Source organism: Homo sapiens, chromosome 3 (assembly GCF_000001405.40).
Source record: "Homo sapiens chromosome 3, GRCh38.p14 Primary Assembly".
Classification (NCBI taxonomy): domain Eukaryota; kingdom Metazoa; phylum Chordata; class Mammalia; order Primates; family Hominidae; genus Homo; species Homo sapiens.
Window position 1 is genome coordinate 140,932,748 of NC_000003.12, and position 23,778 is coordinate 140,956,525.

At 40.1% G+C, this 23,778-nt stretch overlaps 1 protein-coding gene across 9 annotated transcripts in view, besides 3 other annotated features; it reads left to right on the top strand.

The window, feature by feature from the left end:
- Nucleotides 9,063-9,432: an enhancer, noted in NCBI's record as "active region_20620". NCBI's record gives its function as "activates an Ori minimal core promoter by ATAC-STARR-seq in GM12878 lymphoblastoid cells {active_cell/tissue: GM12878}" and the evidence as "EXISTENCE:reporter gene assay evidence [ECO:0000049][PMID:35858748]".
- Nucleotides 9,089-23,778, top strand: part of SLC25A36 (solute carrier family 25 member 36) — a 39,160-nt gene continuing 24,470 nt past the window's right edge. For 6 of the 9 annotated variants that reach the window (XR_007095699.1, XR_007095700.1, XR_007095701.1 and 3 more), the window contains exon 1: nucleotides 9,500-9,810. Coding sequence is in view for 3 of the 9 variants with exons in the window: in XM_047448440.1 (XP_047304396.1) it covers nucleotides 9,674-9,810 (137 nt within the window). In the remaining 6 variants the exon portion in view is untranslated. Of the gene's footprint in view, nucleotides 9,349-9,440; nucleotides 9,811-23,778 lie in introns of those variants that run through there. The other 3 variants (NM_001104647.3, NM_018155.3, XM_047448440.1) reach the window with 2 other exon arrangements.
- Nucleotides 9,526-10,373: an enhancer, noted in NCBI's record as "H3K27ac hESC enhancer chr3:140661115-140661962 (GRCh37/hg19 assembly coordinates)". NCBI's record gives its function as "activates a minimal SCP1, AML or CMV promoter by ChIP-STARR-seq in naive H9 embryonic stem cells {active_cell/tissue: H9 hESC(naive)}" and the evidence as "EXISTENCE:reporter gene assay evidence [ECO:0000049][PMID:30033119]".
- Nucleotides 10,013-10,242: an enhancer, noted in NCBI's record as "active region_20621". NCBI's record gives its function as "activates an Ori minimal core promoter by ATAC-STARR-seq in GM12878 lymphoblastoid cells {active_cell/tissue: GM12878}" and the evidence as "EXISTENCE:reporter gene assay evidence [ECO:0000049][PMID:35858748]".

Sequence of the window (23,778 nt, forward strand, 5' to 3'; positions counted from 1 at the left end):
ATTAGTAAGTCCCCAAGAAATATCAGCTACCATTTTTAAATTTTTGTTTATGAGACAGGGTCTCACTCTGTTGCCCAGGCTGGAGTGGACTAATGCTATCATAGCTTACTGCAGACTCTAACTCAGCCTCCTGTTTTATTTTTTGTAAAGACAGGGGCCTCACTGTATTGCCCAGGGTGGTCTCCAACTCCTTGCCTAAAGCAATCCTTCTGCCTTGGCCTCCCAAAGTGCTAGAATTATAAGCATAAGCCACAGCACCTGGCCCATTTTTGTTATTAGAAATATGAAGGATCTTGAAAAGGTTCACGGAAAATGCATATTATAAAAAAAACTATGTATCCCGGGCAAAATGGCCAAATAGGAACAGCTCTGGTCTGCAGCTCCCAGCAAGACCAAAGCAGAAGGCGGGTGATTTCTGCATTTCCAACTGAGGTATCCAGTTCATGTCGTTGGGACTGGTTAGACAGTGAGTGCAGCCCACGGAGGGCGAGTGGAAGCAGGGTGGGGCATCGTCTCACCCAGGAAGCACAAGGGGTTGGGGTACTCCCTCCCCTAGCCAAGGGAAGCCATGAGGGACCGTGCTGTAAGGGACAGTGCACTCTGGACCAGATACTACACTTTTCCCACAGTCTTCACAACCCACAGACCAGAGATTCCCTCGGGTGCTTACAGCACAAAGGACCTGGGTTTCAAGCACAAAACTGGGCAGCAACTGGGGGAGACACTGAGCTAGCTGCAGGAGTTTTTTTTCATACCCCAGTGGCACCTGGAACGCCAGCAAGATAGAACTGTTCACTCCCCTGGAAAGGGGGCTGAAGCCAGGGAGCCAAGTGATCTAGCTCAGCAAATCTCACCCCCATGGGGCCCAAAAAGCTAAGATCCACTGGCTTGAAATTCTCGCTGCCAGTACAGGAGTCAGAAGTCAACATGGGACGCTTGAGCTTGGCGCGGGGAGGGGCGTCTGCCATTACTGAGGCTTGAGTAGGCGGTTGGTTTTCCCCTCACAGTGTAAACAAAGCTGCTCCAAGTTCGGACTAGGCAGAGCCCCACCACAGCGCTGGAAAGCCACTGTAGCCCAACTGCCTCTCCAGATTCCTGCTCTTTGGGCAGAGCATCTCTGAAAGAAAGGCAGCAGCCCCAGTCAGGGGCTTACAGAGAAAACTCCCATCTCCCTGGGACAGAGCACCTGGGGGAAGGGGCAGCTGTGGGTACAGCTTCAGCAGACTTAAACGTTCCTGCTTGCCGGCTCTGAAGAGAGCGGCAGACTCTGCTAAGGGACAGATTGGCTCCTCAAGTGGGTCCCTGACCCCTGAGCGTCTTGACAGGAGGACAACTCCCAGCAGAGGTCAACAGACTCATCACACAGGAGAGCTCCAGCTGGTATCTGGCGGGTGCCCCTCTGGGATGAAGCTTCCAGAGGAAGGAGCAGGCAGCAATCTTTGCTGTTCTGCAGCCTCCACTGGTGATACCCAGGCAAACAGGGTCAGGAGTGGACCCCCAGCAAACTCCAGCAGACCTGCAGAAGAGGGTCCTGACTGTTAGAAGGAAAACTAACAAACAGAAAACAATAGCATCAACATCAAAAAAAAAAGGATGACCAAAAAAAGCTCCATCCGAAGGTCACCAACGGCAAAGGCCAAAGGTAGATAAATCCATGAAGATGAGGAAAAACCAGTGCAAAAAGGCTGAAAATGCCAAAAACTAGAACGTCTCTTCTCCAAAGGATCAAGGGAACAAAATTGGATGGAGAATGAATTTGACGAATTGACAGAAGTAGGCTTCAGAAGGTGGGTAATAACAAACTCCTCCAAGCTAAAGGAGCATGTTCTAACCCAATGCAAGGAAGCTAAGAACCTTGATAAAAGGTTAGAGGAATGGCTAACTAGAATAACCAGCTTAGAGAAAAACATAAATGACCTGATAGAGCTGAAAAACACAACATGAGAACTTTGTGAAGCATACAGAAAGAAGTATCAATAGCCAAATCAATCAAGTGGAAGAAAGGATGTCAGAGATTGAAGATCAACTTAATGAAATAAAGCATGAAGACAAGATTAGAGAAAAAAGAATGAAAAGGAACAAACAAAGCCTCCAAGAAATATGGCACTATGTGAAAAGACCAAACCTAAATTTGATTGGTATACCTGAAAGTGACAGGGAGAATGGAACCAAGATGGAAAACACTCTTCAGGATATTATTCAGGAGAACTTCCCCAACCTAGCAAGAAAGGCCAACATTCAAATTCAGGAAATACAGAGACCACCACAAAGATACTCCTCGAGAAAACAAGCCCCAAGACATATAATCGTCAGATTCACCAAGGTTAAAATGAAGGAAAAAATCTTAAGGGCAGTCAGAGAGAAAGGCTGGGTTACCCACAAAGGGAAGCCCATCAGACTAACAGCAAATATCTCTGCAGAAACTCTACAAGCCAGAGGAGAGTGGGAGCCGATATTCAACGTTCTCAAAGAAAAGAATTTTCAACCCAGAATTTCATATCCAGAAAAACTAAGCTTCATAAGTGAAGGAGAAATAAAATCCTTTACAGACTAGCAAATGCTGTGGGATTTTGTCACCACCAGGCCTGCCTTACAAGAGCTCCTGAAGGAAGCACTAAATATGGAAAGGAAAAACTGGTACCAGCCACTGCAAAAACAAACCAAAATGTAAAGACAATCAACACTACGAAGAAACTGCATCAACTAATGTGCAAAATAACCAGGTAGCATCTTAGTGACAAAATCAAATTCACACATAACAGTATTAACCTTAAATGTAAACAGGCTAAATGCACCAATTAAAAGGCACAGACTGGCAAATTGGATAAAGAGTCAAGAGCCATCAGTGTGCTGTATTCAGGGGACCCATGTCACGTGCAAAGACACACATAGGCTCAAAATAAAGGGATGGAGGAAGATTTACAAAGCAAATGGAAAGCAAAAAAAAAGCAGGGGTTGTAATCCTAGTCTCTGATAAAACAGACTTTAAACTAACAAAGATCAAAAAAGACACAGAAGGGCATTATGTAATGGTAAAGGGATCAGTGCAAGAAAAAGAGCTAACTATCCTAAATATGTATGCACCCAATACAGGAGCACCCAGATTCATAAAGCAAGTTCTTAGAGACCTAAAAAGAGACTTAGACTCCCACACAATAATAATGGGAGACTTTAAAACCCCACTGTCAATATTAGATCAATGAGACAGAAAATTAACCAGGATATTCAGGACTTAAACTCAGCTCTGGACCAAGTGGACCTAACAGACATCTACAGAACTCTCCACCCCAAATCAACAGAATACACATTCTTCTCAAGACCACATAGCACTTATTCTAAAATTGACCACATAAAACACTCTTCAGCAAATGCAAAAGAATGGACATAATAACAGTCTCTCAGACCACAGAACAATCAAATTAGAACTCAGGATTAAGAAACTCACTCAAAACCACACAACTACATGGAAACCGAACAACCTGCTCCTGAATGACTACTAGGTAAATAACGAAATTAAGGCAGAAATAAGTAAGTTCTTTGAAACCAATGAGAACAAAGACACAATATACCAGAATCTCTGGGACACAGCTAAAGCAGTGTTCAGAGGGAAATTTATAGCACTAAATGCCCACAGGAGGAAGCAGGAAAGATCTAAAATTGACACCCTAACATCACAATTAAAAGAACTAGAGAAGCAAGAGCAAAAAAAATTCAAAAGCTAGCAGAAGACAAGAAATAACTAAGATCAGAGCAGAGCTGAAGGAGATATAGACACAAAAAACCCTGAAAAAAATCAATGGATCCAGGAGCTGTTCTGAAAAGATCAACAAAATAGATAGACCACTAGCCAGACTTATAAAGAAGCAAAGAGAGAAGAATCAAATAGACACAATTAAAAACGATAAAGGGGATATTACCACTGATCCCACACAAATACAAACTACCATCAGAGAATACTATAAACATCTCTATGCAAATAAACTAGAAAATCTAGAAGAAATGGATAAATTCCTAGACCATACACCCCCACCAAGACTAAACCAGGAAGAAGTCAAATCCCTGAATAGACCAATAACAAGGTCTGAAATTAAGGCAGTAAGTAATAGCCTACCAACCAAAAAAAGCCCAGGACCAGATGGATTCACAGCCGAATTCTACCAGAGGTATAAAGAGGAGCTGGTATCATTCCTTCTGAAACTATTCCAAACAATAGAAAAAGGGAGACTCCTCCCTAACTCATTTTATGATTTTATGAGGCCGCCATCATCCTGATACCAAAACCTGGCAGAGACACAACAAAAAAAGAAAATTTCAGGCCAATATCCCTGATGAACATCGATGCAAAAATCCTCAATAAAACAGAGGCAAACTGAATCCAGCAGCACATTAAAAAGCTTATCCACCACAATCAAGTTGGCTTCATCCCTTGGATGCAAGGCTGGTTCAATATATGCAAATCAATAAACATAATCCATCACATAAACAGAACCAATGACAAAAACCACATGATTATCTCAATAGATGCAGAAAAGGCCTTTGATAACATTCAACACCCCTTCATGCTAAAAACACTCAATAAACTAGGTATTGATGGAACATACCTCAAAATAATAAGAGCTATTTATGACAAACTCATAGCCAGTATCATACTGAATGGGCAAAAGCTGGGAGCATCACCTTTGAAAACCAGTACAAGACAAGGATGCTCTCTCTCAACACTCCTATTCAACATAGTATTAGACGCTCTGGCCAGGGCAATCAGGCAAGAGAAAGAAATAAAGGGTATTCAAATAGGAAGATAGGGAGTCAAATTACCTCTGTTTGCAGATGACATGATTGAATATTTAGAAAACCCCATCATCTCAGCCCAAAAACTCCTTAAGCTGATAAGCAACTTCAGCAAAGTCTCAGGATACAAAATCAATGTGCAAAAATCACAAGCATTCCTGTACACCAATAATAGACAAACAGAGAGCCAAATCATGGGCAAATTCCAATTCACAATTGCTACAAAGAGAATCAAATACCTAGGAATATAACTTACAAGGGATGTGAAGGACCTCTTCAAGGAGAACTACAAACCACTGCTCAAGGAAATAAGAGAGAACACAAACAAAGGGAAAAACATTCCATGCTCATGGATAGAAAGAATCAATATCGTGAAAATGGCCATACTGCCCAAGGTAATTAATAGATTCAATGCTATTCCCATCAAGCTACCATGGACTTTCTTCACAGAATTAGAAAAAACTTCTTTAAATTTCATATGCAACCAAAAAAGAGCCCATATAGCCAAGACAATCCTAAGAAAAAAGAACAAAGCTGGAGGCATCATGCTACCTGACTTCAAACTATACTACAAGGCTACAGTAACCAAAACAGCATGGTACTGGTACCAAAACAGATATATAGACCACTGGAACAGAACAGAGGCCTCAGAAATAACACCACACATCTACAACCATCTGATCTTTGACAAACCTGAGAAAAACAAGCAATGGGCAAAGGAGTCCCTATTTAATAAACTGCTAGCCATATGCAGAAAACTGGAACTGGACTCCTTCCTTACACCTTATACAAAAATTAACTCAAGATGGATTAAAGATTTAAATACAAGACCTAAAATCATAAAAACCCTAGAAGAAAACCTAGGCAATATCATTCAGGCATAGGCATGGGCAAAGACTTCATGAATAAAACACCAAAAGCAATGGCAACAAAAGCCAAAATTGACAAATGGGATCTCATTAAACTAAACAGCTTCTGCACAGCAGAAGAAACTATCCAGAGTGAACAGGCAACCTACAGAATGGGAGAAAATTTTTGCAATCTATCCATCTGACAAAGGGCTAATATCCAGAATCTCCAAGGAACTTAAACAAATTTATAAAAAAAAAAAAAAAAAAACCAGCTGGGCACAGTGGCTCATGCCTGTAATCCCAGTACTTTGGGAGGCTGAGGCGGGTGGATTGCCTGAGGTCAGGAGTTCAAGACCAGCCTGGCCAACACAGTGAAACCCCGTCTCTATTAAAAATACCAAAAAAAAAAAAAAATTAGCTGCGCATGGTGGCAGGCACCTCTAATCCCAGTTACTACGGAGGCTGAGGCAGGAGAACCACTTGAACCCAGGAGGTGGAGGTTGCAGTGAGCTGAGATTGCACCATTGCACTCCAGCCTGGGTAACAAGAGCAAGACTCTGTTTCAAAAAAAACAAGCAAAAACAAAAACAAAACAACAACAAAAACAATCCCATCAAAAAATGAATGAAGGATATGAACAGACACTTCTCAAAACAAGACGTTTATGTGGCCAACAAACATATGAAAAAAAGCTCATCACCACTAGTCATTAGAGAAATGCAAATGCAAACCACAATGAGATACCATCTCACGCCAGTTAGAATGGCGATCATTGAAAAGTCAGGAAACAACAGACGCTGGAGAGAAGGTGGGGAAATAGGAATGCTTTCACACTGGGTAACAGTGTGGGAGTGTAAATAAGTTCAACGATTGTGGAAGATGGTGTGGCGATTCCTCAAGGATCTAGAAATACCATTTGACCCAGCAATCCTATTACTGGGTATATACCCAGAGGTCTATAAATCATTCTACTATAAAGACACATGCACACGTATGTTTCTGGCAGCACTATTCACAATAGCAAAGACTTGGAACCAACCCAAATGCCCATCAATGTTAGACTGGATAAAGAAAATGTGGCACATACACACCATGGAATACTATGCGGCCATAAAAAAGATGAGATCATGTCCTTTGGAGGGACATGGATGACGCTGCAAACCATCATTCTCAGCAAACTAACACAAGAACAGAAAACCAAACACCCCATGTTCTCACTCATAAGTGGGAGTTGAAAAATGAGAACATATGGGTACAGGGAGGGGAACATCCACTCTGGGGCCTGTCGGGGGTTGGGGGGCAAGGGGATGGATAGCATTAGGAGAAATACCTAATGTAGACAACGAGTTAATGGGTGCAGCAAACTACCATGGCACATGTATACCTACATAACAAACCTCCACATTCTCCACATGTATCCCAGAACTTAAAGTATATTAAAAAAAAAAAAAAAAAAGGAACTGGTAACAAAGAAAATCTCAGAAAGTTTCTTACTCTTTTCAGTTAAGAGAAGGATGGAATATATGTAAATTTAAATTTATATAAACATTTTTCCTAACTAAAAAAAAAACTATGTATGAATTTCAAACTTTTTTGCACCAAAAATTCGTACTCACTTGTTATAATGTATCTGAACAAGATCTAGTTTGAGGCACTAAAAAGGATAAGACATCAGCTTGAAAACAGCCCCTATCAGAGCAGCATGAATTGAAGCAAGAAAAAACATCAAATTTATGGTCAAGATTGGGTGGAAGAATGGTGAAATCAAGGATGCTTTACAAAAGTTTGATGGGGAAAATTCCCCCAAAGAAATCTGAAGTTTACAAATGGATAACTTGTTTGCAGAAGGGATGAGACAATGTTGAAGAGGAAGCCTGCAGTGGCAGACAATCCACATCGATTTTTGAGGAAAAGATTATTCTTCGGTGTGCCCTAATTGAAGAGGACCCACAATTAACAGCACAAATAATATACAACACCATAGACATTTCAACTGGTTCTACTTACACATTTCTCACTGAAAAACTGAAGTTGAGCAAACTTTTCACCCGATGGGTGCAAAACTGTTGCACCCAGATGAGCTGCAGACAAGAGCAGGGCTTTCAATGGAAATTGTAAACAAGTGGGATCATATATTGAAACATTTCTTTGAAGAATTGTAACAGGAGATCAAACATAGCTTTCTCAGTATGATTCTGGATCAAAGCAATAGTTACCAAGAGGTGCAAGTGGTCCAGTCAAATCAAAAGTAGACTGGTCAAGAGCCGAAGTCATAGCAGCAGCTTTTTGGGATGCTCAAGGTATTTTGCCTGTTGACTTTCTGGAGGGTGGAAGAGCAATAACATCCGCTTACTATAGGAGAAAGTGAAGCAAAGCTTTAGCATAAAAACACCTACGAAATCTTCACCAGAGAGTCCTTCTCCATCAGGACAATGTTCCTGCTCATTCCTCTCTTTAAATAAGGGCATTTTTCCAGGGATTTCGATGGGAAACTATCAGGTATCCATCTTACATTCCTGACCTGGCTCCTTCTGACATATTTTTGTTTTCTAATCGTGAAAAATCTGTAAATGGCACCCATTTTTCTTCAGTTAATAACGTAAAAAAGCCTGCATTTTCATGATTAAATTCCCAGAACCCTCAATTCTTTACAGATGGACTAAAGAGCCGGTATCATCACTTACCAAACTGTCTTTAACTTGATGGAGCTTACGTTGAAAAACAAAGTTTATATTTTTAAATTTTATCTTTTAATTCCATTTCCCATGAACTTTTATTCTTTTAAAAACAAACCCAAGTATTTTAATTCTACTTGCCTTTTTTACTTATTACACACTTCGGGAGATTTTTTGCCATATGGAATCACCTCATCCCTTGTCACGATTGCATAATATTCCATAGTAGGAATGTTTCATGATTTATTTCTTCATTCCCCCACTGATTTCAATTTTCTGCAACTGCAAGCATTGTTCATAATTCTGTACTGTTTGTGAGCCTATATAGGAGTATCCGTGCACAAACCTTTTTATGCATTGTGCGAGGGTTACTCTGAGATAGACACCAAGGGAACTGCTGGGTCATAAATCCAATTTTTTCAAAGTAAATCCGCTTGCGAACCCGGAACCAAGTCGATTTTTCCCGCCCCGCCAGTTCCCTGTTCAGGAGAGTGCAGCCGTGATTGGCGCGTTCACTCAGGCCAGGGGCGCCCCAGGTCTCAGGTGCTAGGAGCGCGGTGACCTACCACCCTCCGGGCACGCGTTCTGGCCACGCCTCGCGGCCCCTTTCATTGAAAGAGCCCGTAGGGATCACGTGAAAGAACACTGCAGAGTGCGTGACGTCACGACGCTCACACCAATGGGAGCCTCTGTTTATGTCGGGAGCCATCAAATAGTCATCTTCCCCCTACCATCCCCCGCCCACTCTCCGTCGCGCTGCGCTGCGTCGCTTTCAGCCTCTGGTGAAGGGCGGCGCGCTTAGGCAGGCGGTGGCGCGGCTGGAGTGCCGCGGGGAGGGCTGTGCCGGTTGCTTTCTGCAGCCGCATCTCGGCCAGCTCTCCTCGCCGTCCCCGGGGCGCTGTGCGTCTCCAGTCCGGGACCGAAGCCGCCTGCCGTAGCGGGCGGCCAGATCCGCGTCCCGCCTCAGCGGCCGGAGGACATGCGGGAGAGAGAATGAGCCAGAGGGACACGCTGGTGCATCTGTTTGCCGGAGGGTAAGGTCCTGGCGGGGCGTGCGCACTGGGGCTGAGGGTGCTGGGGCCGAAGACGCAGGCGAGGGGGGCGAGGGGGGCCGAGGGGGGTGGGGGGGTGGGGGGGCGGGAGTGAGGCCTGGGCGGGGAGCTGCCACGGGCCTGCGGGTGAGGGGAGCGACCCAGCCCGTGGGTGGTGAGGGGGGCTCCGGTTCGGGGAAGCAAGGGGGTGAGGCCCGGGCCCGAGGGCGAGAGAGTGAGGCCCGGGCAAAGAGGGTTGAGGCATGAAACCCGGGCCGGGAGTGAGGTTTTGGGCCCGCGGGGCCGGGGTGAGGCGGAGGCCGAATCCATGCGTCTGAGGAGACGCGGGCAAGAGCTGGGGTCGGCGCTTGATTACCCGGACGCCGCTGGACCTGGCCGCACGCCGCAATCTAGCAGGCGTCGGGGATCCAGGGCCGCTTTGAGGAGCCTGGCTTCGGATTTCGCGTAGGTTGCATGGCCCAAGGGGACGGGGCGGAAAGTGCGGAGGCTGAGGACAAAATGGGCGCCGGAGACTCCTTTAGCCCTCGCTCCTTGCAGCGCTCGCTTGGGCCTCTGCACGTCACTCACGCCCCACCTCGGACCTCGGGCCGCTCATTTCCGGGCTCGGCTTTGCAAGGTGGGTGGTAAGGGGGCTACGGGATCGAGCGGGGAAGGCTTTGGTATTCTCCCGTGGTTGCTGTAGGGTGTTTCTAGCCCTTGGAAAATTTCTTGCCCGAGGTTTTCCAGGTGGTGAATGGGGTGCAAAGCTTTCCAGTACCTTTGGGGTCAGATTCCTTTCGAGAAAACCACCCCTCTTGAACACCGCTTGCTTTTCTGCTGCTTAGGAGAAAGTAGGAGTGGAGAGAGGTCAGATTTTTTGAAGATAGTGTTAATAGTTACTATGTGTGTGCAAGATTAGGACTAAGCCTAAAGTCTTAGTTCCCTGATTGCCAAAATGAGTGTTAGAGCTTCCAGTTTAGCCTCCTGTTTAGATTTGCTCCTTCTAAATCATTTGGAGAATCATAGCAATTTTAAGAGTTACTTATTTGGAGGATTATAAAGAGTTTTCTTATCAAAAATGCCTTCGGTGAATTATGCTGAGACTCTTACCGGCATCTTCTTAAATCCTGCAGTTTTTAGATCGACTTTTAAGAATATGAAAGAAATACACACGCAGTTCTATTCACGGTGCCTTGCTTTGAGTTGGACATATGGACTCTATTGAGCCAGTGATGGCAATACTTTCTTTAGGTTGGCACACTTTCATCAACAAATATTTGTTGTACACCAATTATGGGCCGGCCACTGTTCTGGCATAAAAACAATATTTTTCTATTGATCTGTGAGACCCAGTTTAGGCAGTTTGCTTTCCATATTTCTGAAATGTTTACTGCCAATAATCAGGCAAATTAAATCTTTTTAAAAAAATTCTGTAGCTATGTAGATGCTCTTGAAAAGATCTCATGCAAATAATTGAGCTCCCTCTTGTAATTAGATCTATAACCCTGAAGTGAGGAGACCGCAGATGTAGTCTAGCACTATTTTAATTTGGGTGAAAAATGGACACTTTTATTTCAATTGCTTCATCTATAAAATTAGGAGGTTGTATTATATGATCTCTAAAGCCCTTCTCTAGCTCCTAACATTTCTATTATTCTGCGTTCAGGATTCATGTATCAAGTTTAGTTAAAAATGGGGCATACTTATATTTGAAATAAATGTTAGCTTGATTGCACTAATTTCCCACTTTGGATTAGGATCATCATTTTGTTATAAAAACATGTAAATATAGGTTTTCTGGTTTAAGAACAGGAATGGGAGGTGTTTGTAGCATCTAAACACACAGATTAGGAGCTCCATCCCCTCCCCCCCAGTCTAGCATATGTAGTTAGAGTATTAAATGAGATATGGTATGTAGGATTTGATACAAGATAGGTGCTCAGCCGTATAATTTCTCTTCCTTTGCATCTCATCTTGATTTTATTTTTATATGTGGTTACATAAGTGAGTTCAGTAAAACACACCTTATCTTTTTAAAGGAAGCCCAGTATATTTTAAAAGAACCAAGAGTAACCTTTCACAGAGTATTTAATCTTAGGCAAGGGTTTTCCGAATATGGAGCCTTTAAGTTGTTTTTCTGATAAGTAGAATTGTAATATTCAAATATGTTTATCGGAATCCCACATTTCTAATAGCCTAGTAGCTGTATTGTTAAACACCAGCACTGGACCTTGGTTCTGGGTGAAATACTCACATGCATAACTCGTGCTTTCTTTAAGACACCCTTTGATCCCATTATGCTTTTGCCAGAGTTAATATTCAGAGTTTGTAAGGTCAGTAGTTAGGTTAATTGAGTTAAGGAACGATATCATGACAGCCTGTAAAAAAGGTGTAAATGTGATTTAATTTTAGCTGTACCTCTAATGTATGTATATAGAGATGAAAGCACTATTAAATGTATTTTTAAAGACTGATAGAATTGTACATTGTCTAGTTATTGTATCAGCTGCATATATCTACAGAGGCAGCTCATTTTTTTTCTATTTGAGGGAGATATTGTCTCAAATAGGAGCTATATACCTTAAGATTTTAAGTGGATGAAGTATTTTCTTTGCAGCTCTTATGACAGATAATTTAATATATGTAGTGAGTAAAATCAAAGATGATCTAAGAACTGTCTATTTTTATATCCTGGAGCTCATTCATTTGCTCAATCATTATTATTTATTCAGTAGGAAATTCCCATTTGGGTATAATGAACGATATTTGTTAAATTATTTCACCTGTTTGCTTGAAGATCAGGGCAGAAGTAGAATACTTAAAAGTATAATTAATGTGATTTATTTCCGCTTCACTCTGACCATATTTTTATTAGTCTCATTTCCTTAATTTTTACTACCTCTCCTTTTCCTCTGTCTTGCTCTGTTTAAGCTGCTATTACAAAATACCAAAAACTGGTGGCTTATAAATAACAAATATTTCTAACAGTCCTGAAGGCTGGGAAGTTCAAAATTAAAGCAGTAACAGGTTTTTTGATGATGGTCTACTTCCTCATAGAAGATACTCTCTTGCTGTATCCTCACGTAGTAGGAGAGGCTAGCCAAGATCTCTGGTGTCTTATAAAGGTACTAATCCCAAATGTCAGGGCTACAATCTCATGACCTAATCACCTTGAAAGCGTCTACCTCCTAATACTATCACCTTGGGATGTGAGTAGGATTTCATCTTACTAGTTTTGGGGGAGACAAACATTCAGACATCCTCCTTCCCTTTTTTTCCTTCTAAAAATGCATTCCGTTCTTCTTACTAATAGACTGCAAAACTAAGGGAAGTTTCTTATCCTGTTGGAGAATATTCTCAAATCATTTTTCTATAAATGAATTACTGTAGCACAGCAGCTACCATTTTTCTGCAAATGGATTAGTGTAGCACAACATTGTGGGTCAGGGATTCTCCTTCTTGAGACCCTTGTTGTGGTCTGAGAGTTTAAAACTATTTTCATAAAAATACATTATTGGCACAAATTTGTTGACATTTGTCCTGATGGTGCAAAAGCAATGATGGGTAAAACTGCTGATGCCTTAGCATGCATGAAGGCAGTGGCACCAGACTGTAGTCATCGTATTCACCTCCAGGTACTTGCAATTAAAAAAAAAAAAAAAAGCCAGTTTAACCTAAGAATGCTCATGAAGGAGTAAAAATACTAATTTTATTAAATCACAACCTTTGAATACCTCTATATTTAATATTTTGTGTGACAAAATGGGAAATAGACATGAAGTAACTGTATGCCGAAGTGTGGTTCTGCGTTGTTTCAATTGCAGGCTACACTAGCTTCTTTTTTTCATGGAGTCAGCCATGGGTAAAAAAGTCATTCAGATTTTAAAATAGACCAGTGGATTTTAATATAACAGTATGAAAAGTTTACTGGTATAGTTCAGATTCTACATTTCAGCTAACCTTTAAGAACCTACCACTTGTCTGGTTGTAATATAGTATTGAAGAATATCGACAACCGGACAGCAAGACAAGGGACTGTCTTGTCTAGTAATTGTTATCATTAACTAGAAGGCATTAAGTGCTGTGGGAAAAAAAATGGTGCACCTTAAAGGACTGTGGTAGGAGTGCACTCTAGTACTAAATCGAATGATGATGAATCTTACTGAGATGACATTTGAGTAAAGACTTGGAAGGGAGAGAATTAGCTATACAAAAGGAACTAGCCCCAGTAAGACCCTAGCCCTGGTAAGAGTGAGATAATGAAGCAGGTATGGCCAGAATGATAGAGCCTTCTTAAGCCTTTAAAGGACTTTGACCTTTTCTATTGAAATGGGAGGAGTCATAGAATTTTTAAAGGCTAATTGGTCTCTGCTAGACTATGCGTGGGACAGGGGCAGAAGTAGGGAGTTGATCAGGCTATTTCAATAATCCACTTGACTGATAATGGTGATTCAGACTAGGTTGGAAGCAATGGACATTGTGAGAAGTGGTTGAATTCTAGTTAGACTTCGAAGGTAAAGATAATAAGATTTTTGACATATTGAATGCAGAGTGTAGAAGAAGAGCGAAGAATAACTCCAGGGTTTTTAGTTTGGGCACCTGGAAGGGTGGAATTGCTGTCAACTGAGATGGGCAAGATTGCAGATGGAACAGAGTTGGGGTGAGGGGAGATCAGAAGCTCCATTTTAGACATGGTAAGTTTGAGAAGTAGAGAGGTCAAGAAGCTGATTGTTTAAGTGATTGGATTACTAGCCTGGAGTCCAGGAAAGAGGATTGGACTAGGGATATATATTTAGTAGTCATTGGAACATAAGTGGTGCCATGAGCCTAGTTGAGATCACTAAGGGAGTGAATATAGAGAAGAAGGGACCACGAGCTACCTACCCTCTGGGGACTTCAATAAAAGAGATCAAGAGAAGAGGAATGAGGAGAAGAGGAGGAACCAGCCAAGTACACTTCATAGTGACCAAAAAAATACGGTATCCTGAAATCCAAATGGAGCAAATATACAAGATCTAGAAAGGAGTAAGTGATCAACTATCAAATGTTACTGTCATTTAAGATGTCTGAAAGCTGTTAACCACTGAATTTAATTGAGGAACTTTGGTGACTTTTAGTAATTTCCAGGGCAGGGGAGTAAAAGTCTGGTTGGAGTAGGAGAGAAATTAGAGACAACAAATAGACAGTTTTAAGGTTTGCTGTAAAGGGTAGCAACGAAAGGGGGAAATTTACTTTTACTAAACCTGCCACATTCCCTCAGCCTATTTTGTTCCTATAATGGATTTTTTTTATTTCTCAGTCTCGTATCTTACTATTTTTCCTTAAAATAGTAAGCACTTTGAAGCTCCCAACAAAGGCCTTTTTCTTTCTTACAAGACCTATTTGCACAGAGATTTTAGTTTTTGTTTGTTTAAACCAGTCTTGGTTACACTGTGCCTAGCTTTACGAAAACCAAAAAACACTCTAAATAGTAAAGACTCTACAACTGCATCTTGGGCTGTATGATACGGCTTGCTTCCATGTTTATCTAAGTTGGCTAAAATTTTCTGTATTACTAGTCTTGATTTTGCTTTATCATCCACAATAAGAATAACGTGTTAATTTTTTCCTGCATCAGAAACACTTCCTATACTTAAAAAAATGCTGTGTTATTCTCAAGCACGCATTGCTGACTTTTCCTAAGTTGGTCTATCAGGTATATAGATGTCCATCACCATTTCAAAAACTTGTATTGCTTCTTGTCTAAACACTAAAGCTTCAGAGAAAATAGTTATACAAGTGTACTACCAGAGAAACAATTTTTGGTAAGACTTCCTTAATGATTTGTATAGAATTTCAGGGAGAGTCTACGTGGTTTTTTTAATTATTATTATTTTTTGAGATGGAGTTTCACTCTTGTTGCCCAGGCTGGAGTGCAGTGGCACGATCTCGGCTCACTGCAACCTCCACCTCCTAGGTTCAAGCAATTCTCTTGCCTCAGCCTCCCAAGTAGCTGGGATTACAGGTGCCTGCCACCACACCCAGGTAATTTTTTGTACTTTTAGTAGAGACAGGATTTCACCATGTTGGTCAGGCTGGTCTTGAGCTCCTGACCTCAGGCGATCCACCCACCTTGGCCTCCCAAAGTGCTGGAATTACAGGCCTGAGCTACCACGCCCAGCCCAGTCTACATGTTTTAAGATTGAAAAACTCTTTAAGTTTGGCTAGCATTTTAAAGAAACTTCATCTTTAGTGATTGATATTTCTTTTTTTTTTCTTTTTTACAATTTTTAGTAGAGATGGGATTTCACTGCGTTAGCCAGGTTGGTCTCCATCTCCTGACCTCATGATCTGCCCACCTCGGCCTCCCAAAGTGCTGGGATTACAAGCGTGAGCCACCGTGCCCGGCCAGTGATTGATATTTCTTAATGTAACTAATGCCCTAAGTAGAGTATCACTGTAGGCAGAAAAATAAAATATTTTATCCTTTTCATCTTGCTTTATAAAGCTAAACACTGCTTAAAGTTAATAAAATGAATTCTGAAGTACCTTTTTAAATAATATGCACATACAAATATTGTTGACCTCATCAGAAAATATTTTGTTCATCTATCTGTTACCTTGCCTGTTAAAAACAAGTTTCCTGATCCATACACGCTCAAGAGGTTAATATTGAGGACATATATCTAACAGTGCCTTGGATTTTTTCCAGTCCTTTTAAAGCTGGGGGAGCCAGATCTAGTGGTTCAGCAGCTTAGGACTATCCAGTCAATGGGGTTTTATGTCTATGTACCTGTCTTAGGGATTCATGACTGGGTATGATGGCTGAAATTCATCTGCTATTCATATTCACTTAGTGAACAATTTCTCTTTCTCCTTTCTCTCCCATCTCCCCACCCTCAACTTTTGATTCCCGTGCTTCAATAACTAGTGTGGGAGAGCACTTTGAGGCTCCCAACAGAGGCCTTGCTCTTTCTTACAAAACTTGTTTGCACAGGGTTGTTTTATTTGTTTTGTTTTTTAAACCAGTTTTGGTTACACTGTGCCTAGCTTCAAAAACAAAAAAACACTATCTTTTTGCCACTTCTTTACTCAAGAGGTCCATAAAGGCCCTTAAGGTAGCTAGACCCCCTGGCATGCTAGAATTTTTATCTTCATTATATGCACTAAGTAGAAGCAACATTTGAAAGTTCTTAGACAGTTAAACTCTAAAAAGTTTGGCTTTATTAGCATCTGCAGTATTACCATAGGCTAGAGATGTGTCCACATTCCAGTAAATTACCGAGATGACTTGATAAACTTACTGTACAATTTGGCAAACATCATTAAAATAGTTTTAAATGTCTTATAAAATGCTTTAGTGATACCATATTAAACAATTTTAAATATTCTATAAGATCAATACATAGCTATGTGATTATTTGACTCACCAAGCGATCTTGGCCTTCTCGTATCTTTTAAGATATAGGACATTTGCCTATAAAACTTTAAATGAGTGTCAATCTAGGTGGTTTCACTACGAACATAAAGAACATGTAGTTATTTCTAATCTGGGTATACCAGGGGTATAGTGACATTTAACAGTGTTGTTAGATTCGTAACCAAGAAACTCTCCTTTCTGAATTTTTGATGTTACAAAGTAATGAACTTACACCCTTCTGTTACAGACTTGGCTATTCTGTCTTTGGAATTCTTTGCCAATCAAGAAAGCACACAGAACAAACCAGTGACTGTTTTATAGAAATAACTTTGAATTGTAACTTTTTAAAAATAGTAAAGCATCCAACCTTGAACTATGTTATTTAATAGCAAATTACATTAGCCACACCTTGCAACTGATGTCATCCACATCACTGGATCAGAGGGAAGTAAGACCAGTAATGAGTGCCTGCTTCTACTCCACCATTTTTTTCTCTTGCTTTTTCTTGGTTTTCAAATTAATATATTATACATCATCTTTCTGTTCTGGTAGATGAGGATTTAGTTATATTGTACCACTCTCTTGTTTCCTTTTTCTTTACATCCTCTCAATATATAATTTGATAACAGTTTTTGTTAAAAATCAAAAGTCAGTGCTTACCTTATTGTGACAATACAAATATTGTTCACTGCAGAGCTAAGTTTAAGTTGTCTATTATGTTGACCTTTCCTTTCTTGAATAACTTCATTCCTCCCCGCCCCCACCCCCCACTGCCCCTGAAGTTAATAATTGCCTCCATTAAAAAACTTTTGCTTAGTTATGTGAGTACTCATACTTGAACATTTGTTTTCATATGGTCAGCTGTGTTCATCTGTCAGTCTTTTTTCCTGGAGACTTTTGTCCCACTGAATTCTGTCATCCTAATCCTATCTTGATTGGTTTTTTTTCAGGTCTGCCATTTCACTATCATCTTGGGACTTCTGTCTTGGGTTATTCTGTTCCTGCATTTGGTTCCCTCCCTACCACCATCTTCTTTTAGTTTACTTTCTTAATTTGTGGAATACATTTTTTAGTTAGCTATGTAAGAAAAGGGTATACAGTAGGCAATTTCTTGAATACTTCTTTGTCCCAGATGTATAGTTTGGTTTGGTATAGAATTTTAGGATAAGTAATCTGCAGTTGTCGAGAAGTATGATGCTAATCTGGTCACTTTTCCTCTATTATGTGACCTTTTTTCTTTCTGGAAGTTGAAGTCCTTGAAAGATTGCAGTAGCGCATCTTGGTGTGGATTGTTTTTGCATCCTTTGTTCCTGCTAAACCTAAGTTCAGAAATGTTGAGTTTGTATTCTTCAGAGAATTAACCTTCTGCCTAGGAATGTAGTTTTATCCAGCGTGTGTGTGTGTGTCTCTGTGTGTGTCTGTGTGTCTGTGTGTGTGTGTGTGTGTGTGTAAGGCATAGAGCAACACTGGGCATCCTACCTTTGTCATACAGACTGTGACAGCAGCCAGTCCTGTTTTCAGTTCTTTGCCTTAATTCCCTCTTGAATACTTGGTGCCCTAATCATTAGGCCTCCTAGGGATTCTGCAGGGAAAAACTGCTGCTTTTTGGTATTTCCCTCTGCAAGCCTTTCTTCCTCTTTACTAAGTTGTCTTTCCCATTTGCCTCATTGGTTGAAAACTTGCAGCTGCCGATTTCTCTGGGCCTCTCTGTTCTTCTGGCATATTCCTTTAGACAGTGAGATTTTTGACATGGAGAAAAGATAAATCTAATGTAGTTCATCCCAACTTTATTGAAGCAATAGTTTTGTTCTCTACATCAATTCTGATTTCAGTGTGCATAATAATTATTTTTAAATTGCAGCAAGAGAAATACCAGAGTGTCACCCCTATACTACACATCTGTTGCATTCTATAATGTAAAACTGCTTCAGGACAACCTAAGTGCTTGTGCATATACCCACTTATGCCACCCCCACCTCTGTACGATTTACTTATTTATTTATTTTTTGAGATGGAGTCTCGCTCTGTCACCCAGGCTGGAGTGTGCACTGGCACAATCTCGGCTCACTGCAACCTCCGCCTCCCAGGTTCAAACAGTCCTCCCACCTCAGACTCCCGAGTAGCTAAGATTACAGGCGTGCACCACCACGCCTGGCTAATTTTGTGTGTGTGTGTGTATTTTCAGTAGAGGTGGTGTTTCACCATGTTGGCCAGGCTGGTCTTGAACTCCCGAACTCAAATGATCCGGCTTCCTCGGTCTCCCAAAGTCCTAGGTTTACAGGTGTGAGCCACCACGCCTGGCCTTATTTTTTTGTTGTTTTTTAATTTTGTTTTGTTGTTGTTGTTGTTGTCATTGTTTTGAGACAGGGTCTCACTCTTTGGCCTAGGCTGGAGTGTGATAGTGCAATCACAGCTCACTAAAGCCTTGACCTCCCAGGTTTAAGTGATCCTCTTACCTTGACCTCCCAAGTAGCTGGGATTACAGGCATGTGCCACTGCACCTGGCTGTTTTTTCCTTTCTTTCTCTCTTTTTTTTTTTTTTGCGATGGAGTTTCACTCTTGTTGCCCAGGCTGGAGTGCAGTGGCACAATCTCGGCTCACTGCAACCTCTGCCTCCTGGGTTGAAGCGATTCTACTGCCTCAGCCTCCGGAGTAGCTGGGATTACAGGCATGCACCACCAGGCCCAGCTAATTTTTTGTATTATCAGTAGAGACGGGGTTTTATCATGTTTGCCAGGCTGGGCTCGAATTCCTGATCTCAGGTGATCCACCTGCCTTAGCCTCCCAAAGTGCTAGGATTACAGAAGTGAGCCACAACGCCCGGCCTCTTTCTTTCTTTTTTTCAGAGACAGAGTCACTGTGTTGCTTAGGCTGGTTTCAAACTCCTGGACTCAAGTGATGTTACCACCTCAGCCTCTGAAAGGGATTACAGGCATCAGCCACCATGCCTGGCCAGTTTAGATTCTCATGTGTTTTACTTGCTGAAGTGTTTTTTAAATATCATAGTATTTACCTTGTCTGTTGGTCTGGCCACAAAATATTCATAAGACTTCTATTACAAAATTTCATAGTTACCATTATCAGTAATGGAGACACATAACTACATAGCTAATATTTATTGAGCACTTTTTATGTGCCACTTTACAAAATGCTTTATGTGGATTATATTATATCATCTTTACAACAAGCGTGTGAGGCATAGGTATTGTTTTTACCATTGTTGTTTTGTTTTCGTTGTATAATATTTATTTTCTTGGAACCAGGAATGACTGGGTAGGAATCATGGCTTTATGTGCTCATGTTGCTTTTTGTTTGTTTTCGTTTTAATTATAGAAGTAATTCATGTTCATTGAATACATTTTTTAGAAGTTATTCATATTCAAGAATACTCTTTCTTAGGTTTTACAGAATATAAAATCAAAACATGTACATGTTTATTATAGATTTTGGGCCTGTTTGTGGGTTTTATGTTCAATAAATTTACAAAGTAAATACACTAAACTGCTAAAAAGAAATCAGGCAAAGACAAATTGAATTATGGTTTGCCATAAATAGATCACTGTTATAGTGTGAATATGGTATGGACTAACCCACAGGTTCTTCTGAGTCCTACATTGCATATACTCCAAGTATACTGTGTGATGATGACTCATGTCTTTTACCACTTAGCTCTCAACTCTTATCTAAGTAAATTTATGGCTTCTATTTAAGATTCCTCTTGTGGCCTCATATATAATGAGGTTTTAAGACTATTTCATGGCTGTTTGAAAATATCTTTTCCTTGTTTATTGAGTATTGAGGTTTCTAAGTTCTACTTAATTTTGTTTCAGATTTGCTATAATCCTACTACTTTTTGTCTAATTTTGTTGAAATCTGACCGTATAATTGTGGTTTCGACATTTTTTGGGGGGGGGGTTAAATTTTTTCAACTGCCTATTTAAAGCTATGAGTGGAATTTTTTTGAAGTGTTAAGCTTATTTATGATTGAATGTTTCACATAATATATTCAGCCCCAAGTAGTTCATATATTAAGAATTCTTACTGGTTTTCACATATTTTTCAAATCAGATTTGTCAAGGTATCGTTTACATACAGTAAAATCTACCCTTTGTTAAATGTATGCTGTTTATTGACTTTTGGCAGATGTATAAAGTCATTTAAACACTACCATAGTCAGGATATTGGCTGGGCCTAGTGGTTCATGCTTATAATCCCCGTACTTTGGAAGCCTGAAGTGGGAGGATTCCTTGAGGCTAGGAGTTCAAGACCAGTTTGTGCAACATAGCAAGACCCTGTCTCAACAAAAAAATTTTAAAAAATTTAAAAAATTTAGCTGTGCATGGTGGCATGTGCCTGTAGTCCCAGCTGCTAGGGAGGCTGAAGCAGGAGGACTGTTTGAACCCAGGAGTTCAAGGCTACAGTGAGCTATGATCGTGCCACTGCACTCCAGCCTTGGTGACAGAGCAAGACACTATCTCAAAAGAAAAAAAGAAAAGGGATATTGAACAGTTTTTGTTATTCCAAGAATTCCCCCACACCCCTTGAAGTCACTTTCTTCCCTCTCCTCTACCCCTTGGAAACCACTGATCTCATTTCTGTTCCTCTCATTTTGCCTTTTCTAGAATATCATAAAAGTGTTTGCTTAACGAGGGGGATAATTTTTTTAACGTCAAAAATAAAAGCCTTTTGTGCTTAGCTTTTTCAATTAGCATAATGCTTTTGAGATTTACCCAGGTGGTGGCTTTTTACTGCAGAATAGTATTCTATTATATAGTTGTACCACAGTTTGCTTCCACTAGTTGATGGACATTTGGGTTGTTCCCAGTTTTTAGCTATGAATAAGTATAGCTATTATAAACATTCATGAACAAGTCTTTCTGTGGACATGTCTGTTCATTTCTCTTGGGTCAGTACCTACAAGTGAGATAGGGCTGTGTGGCAGTGTTATGTTTAACTCTGTAAGAAACTGACAAACTGCTTTCTAAAATGCCTGTACCATTTTTAATTCCCACCAGCAGTGTAAGAGATTTCCAGTTCAGCGGTTGGCTGTTTGTTGGTCAGTCTTTTTAATTCTAGCCATTTAATAGATGGGCAGTAGTATCTTATAATGGATCTACTTTGCATTTCCCTGATGACAAATGATTTGCAGAATTCTGTGTGTTTATTTGCGTCTATGTATCACTATCTGTTAAATCTCTTACTGAATTACTTGATTTTATTCCTGACTGTAAGCACTTTTGCAGGTAATGATTTGTAAATATTTGTTCTCAGTCTATGGCTTTCATTTTCTTCTCAGTTTCTTTCATTGTGTTAGCAGTTTCTTTCAGAGTAGAAGTTTTTAGTTTTGATAAGGTCCAGTTTTTCAGTTTTTTTCTTTAATGATTTGTGCTTCTTTTGATGTCCATATAAGAAGTCTGTGCCTAACGCAAAGTTAAAAGATTTTTTTCCAGATGTTTTTTTCCTAGATGTTTTATAGTTTCATCATTTTAAACTTAGGTCTGTGATCCATTTCGAGTTAATTTTAAAATGTACTGTGAGGTAAGGGGCATGTTTTTTATTTTACATATAATGTTCTTTATTTTTTAATAGTTTTGTTGCATAAGTTTTTCACTCTAGTTGCATACAGTTTGGTTTTATCTTATTTTCTTTGTGGCATATACTAATACACCAATATGACATATTTTTATCTTTTAAAATTTCTTTTACATTCTATTCGGAGTGATATTAACATTGCCATGCCTGCTTTCCTTTATATATATGTGTGTGTGTTTTTTTTATTGTGGAGGTAGAATTGTTTAGTGTATTATTGCATGGGTTGCTTTTCTTTTTCTTCTTTTAATGCCCATTTTGAAGGTCCACGTTAACCTGACTCAACTAGCTTTTCTCTTTCACCGCACTAAGAGCTTTTCTGAGTGATTTTCCCTTTTGGTTAGAAAGCAGTTCTAAAGGCTTCACTTGGTAGTTATTAATGTTTTAAGAGGAAATTATTTTCTACTCTTGTATTTTAAAATAAGAAAATAATAATTACTCAGCCTATATCTTACATACCTTTTAAACAGTTCAATGTCATTAAGAGCTTTTGTTATTATTGTTCTGGTGATCAGTCCTTTTATTTAAGTTGGATTCTTCTAACAAGCCTACCTACATTGTACAGTTTTCCACGTGTAGGCCTGACAGGTATTAATTGTGAGACTCAAATGCCAATTTTTTTTCTTTTTTGAGACAGGGTCTCACTCTGTTGCCCAGGCTAGAGTGCAGTGGCCTGATCATATTCACTGTAGCCCTGAACTCCTATGCTCACACAGTTTTCCCACCTCAGCCTCCCGAGTAGCCAGGACTACATGCATGCCCCACCACACCTGGCTAATTTTTTAAACAAATTTTTTGTAAAGTGGTGTCTGGCTATGTTGCCCAGGCTGATGTCAAACTGGCCTCAAACCATCCTCTTGTCTCCTCCCAAAGCTCTGGGATTACATGTGTGAGCCATGCGCCCAGCCCTCAAATGCTGTATTTTTTTGTAGGTGAAATACTTCTGAATATTTGGGGATTTAAAATAAGAGAACTATGTATGGTTAACTATCAGTGAGTTCTTCCTTATTGTTCAGAAGACCATTTCTTCAGTTTGAAAGGACAGGAGTTTGAAAGATAGGATATACTTCAAAGAATGGCCTAGATTTTAACAGAGCCACAAGTTATATATATACATGAGTACTAAATCAAACCTTAGGACAGTATTTAAAGCCATTATGTGACTTACCAGTACAATTTTAGTAACAGCACCTATCAGTTGAAGTGTTTAGCAGTTATTCTTGCCAGATAGTTACTAAGCTGTGTTCATTTTAGTTACTGAAGAAGTTTGTATGAAATCAAATAATGGAATCTCTTAAAAATCAGTTTAGTCATCTAACATTAAAAATTATAAATTTTAGTATGTTGGCAAAGCTCCAGGTACCCATGTGGATTACAGCTCTGGGCATATATACTAACTTATGAATTAAGTAGATAAGCTGTGTTCTTTTTTTTTTTTTTTTTTA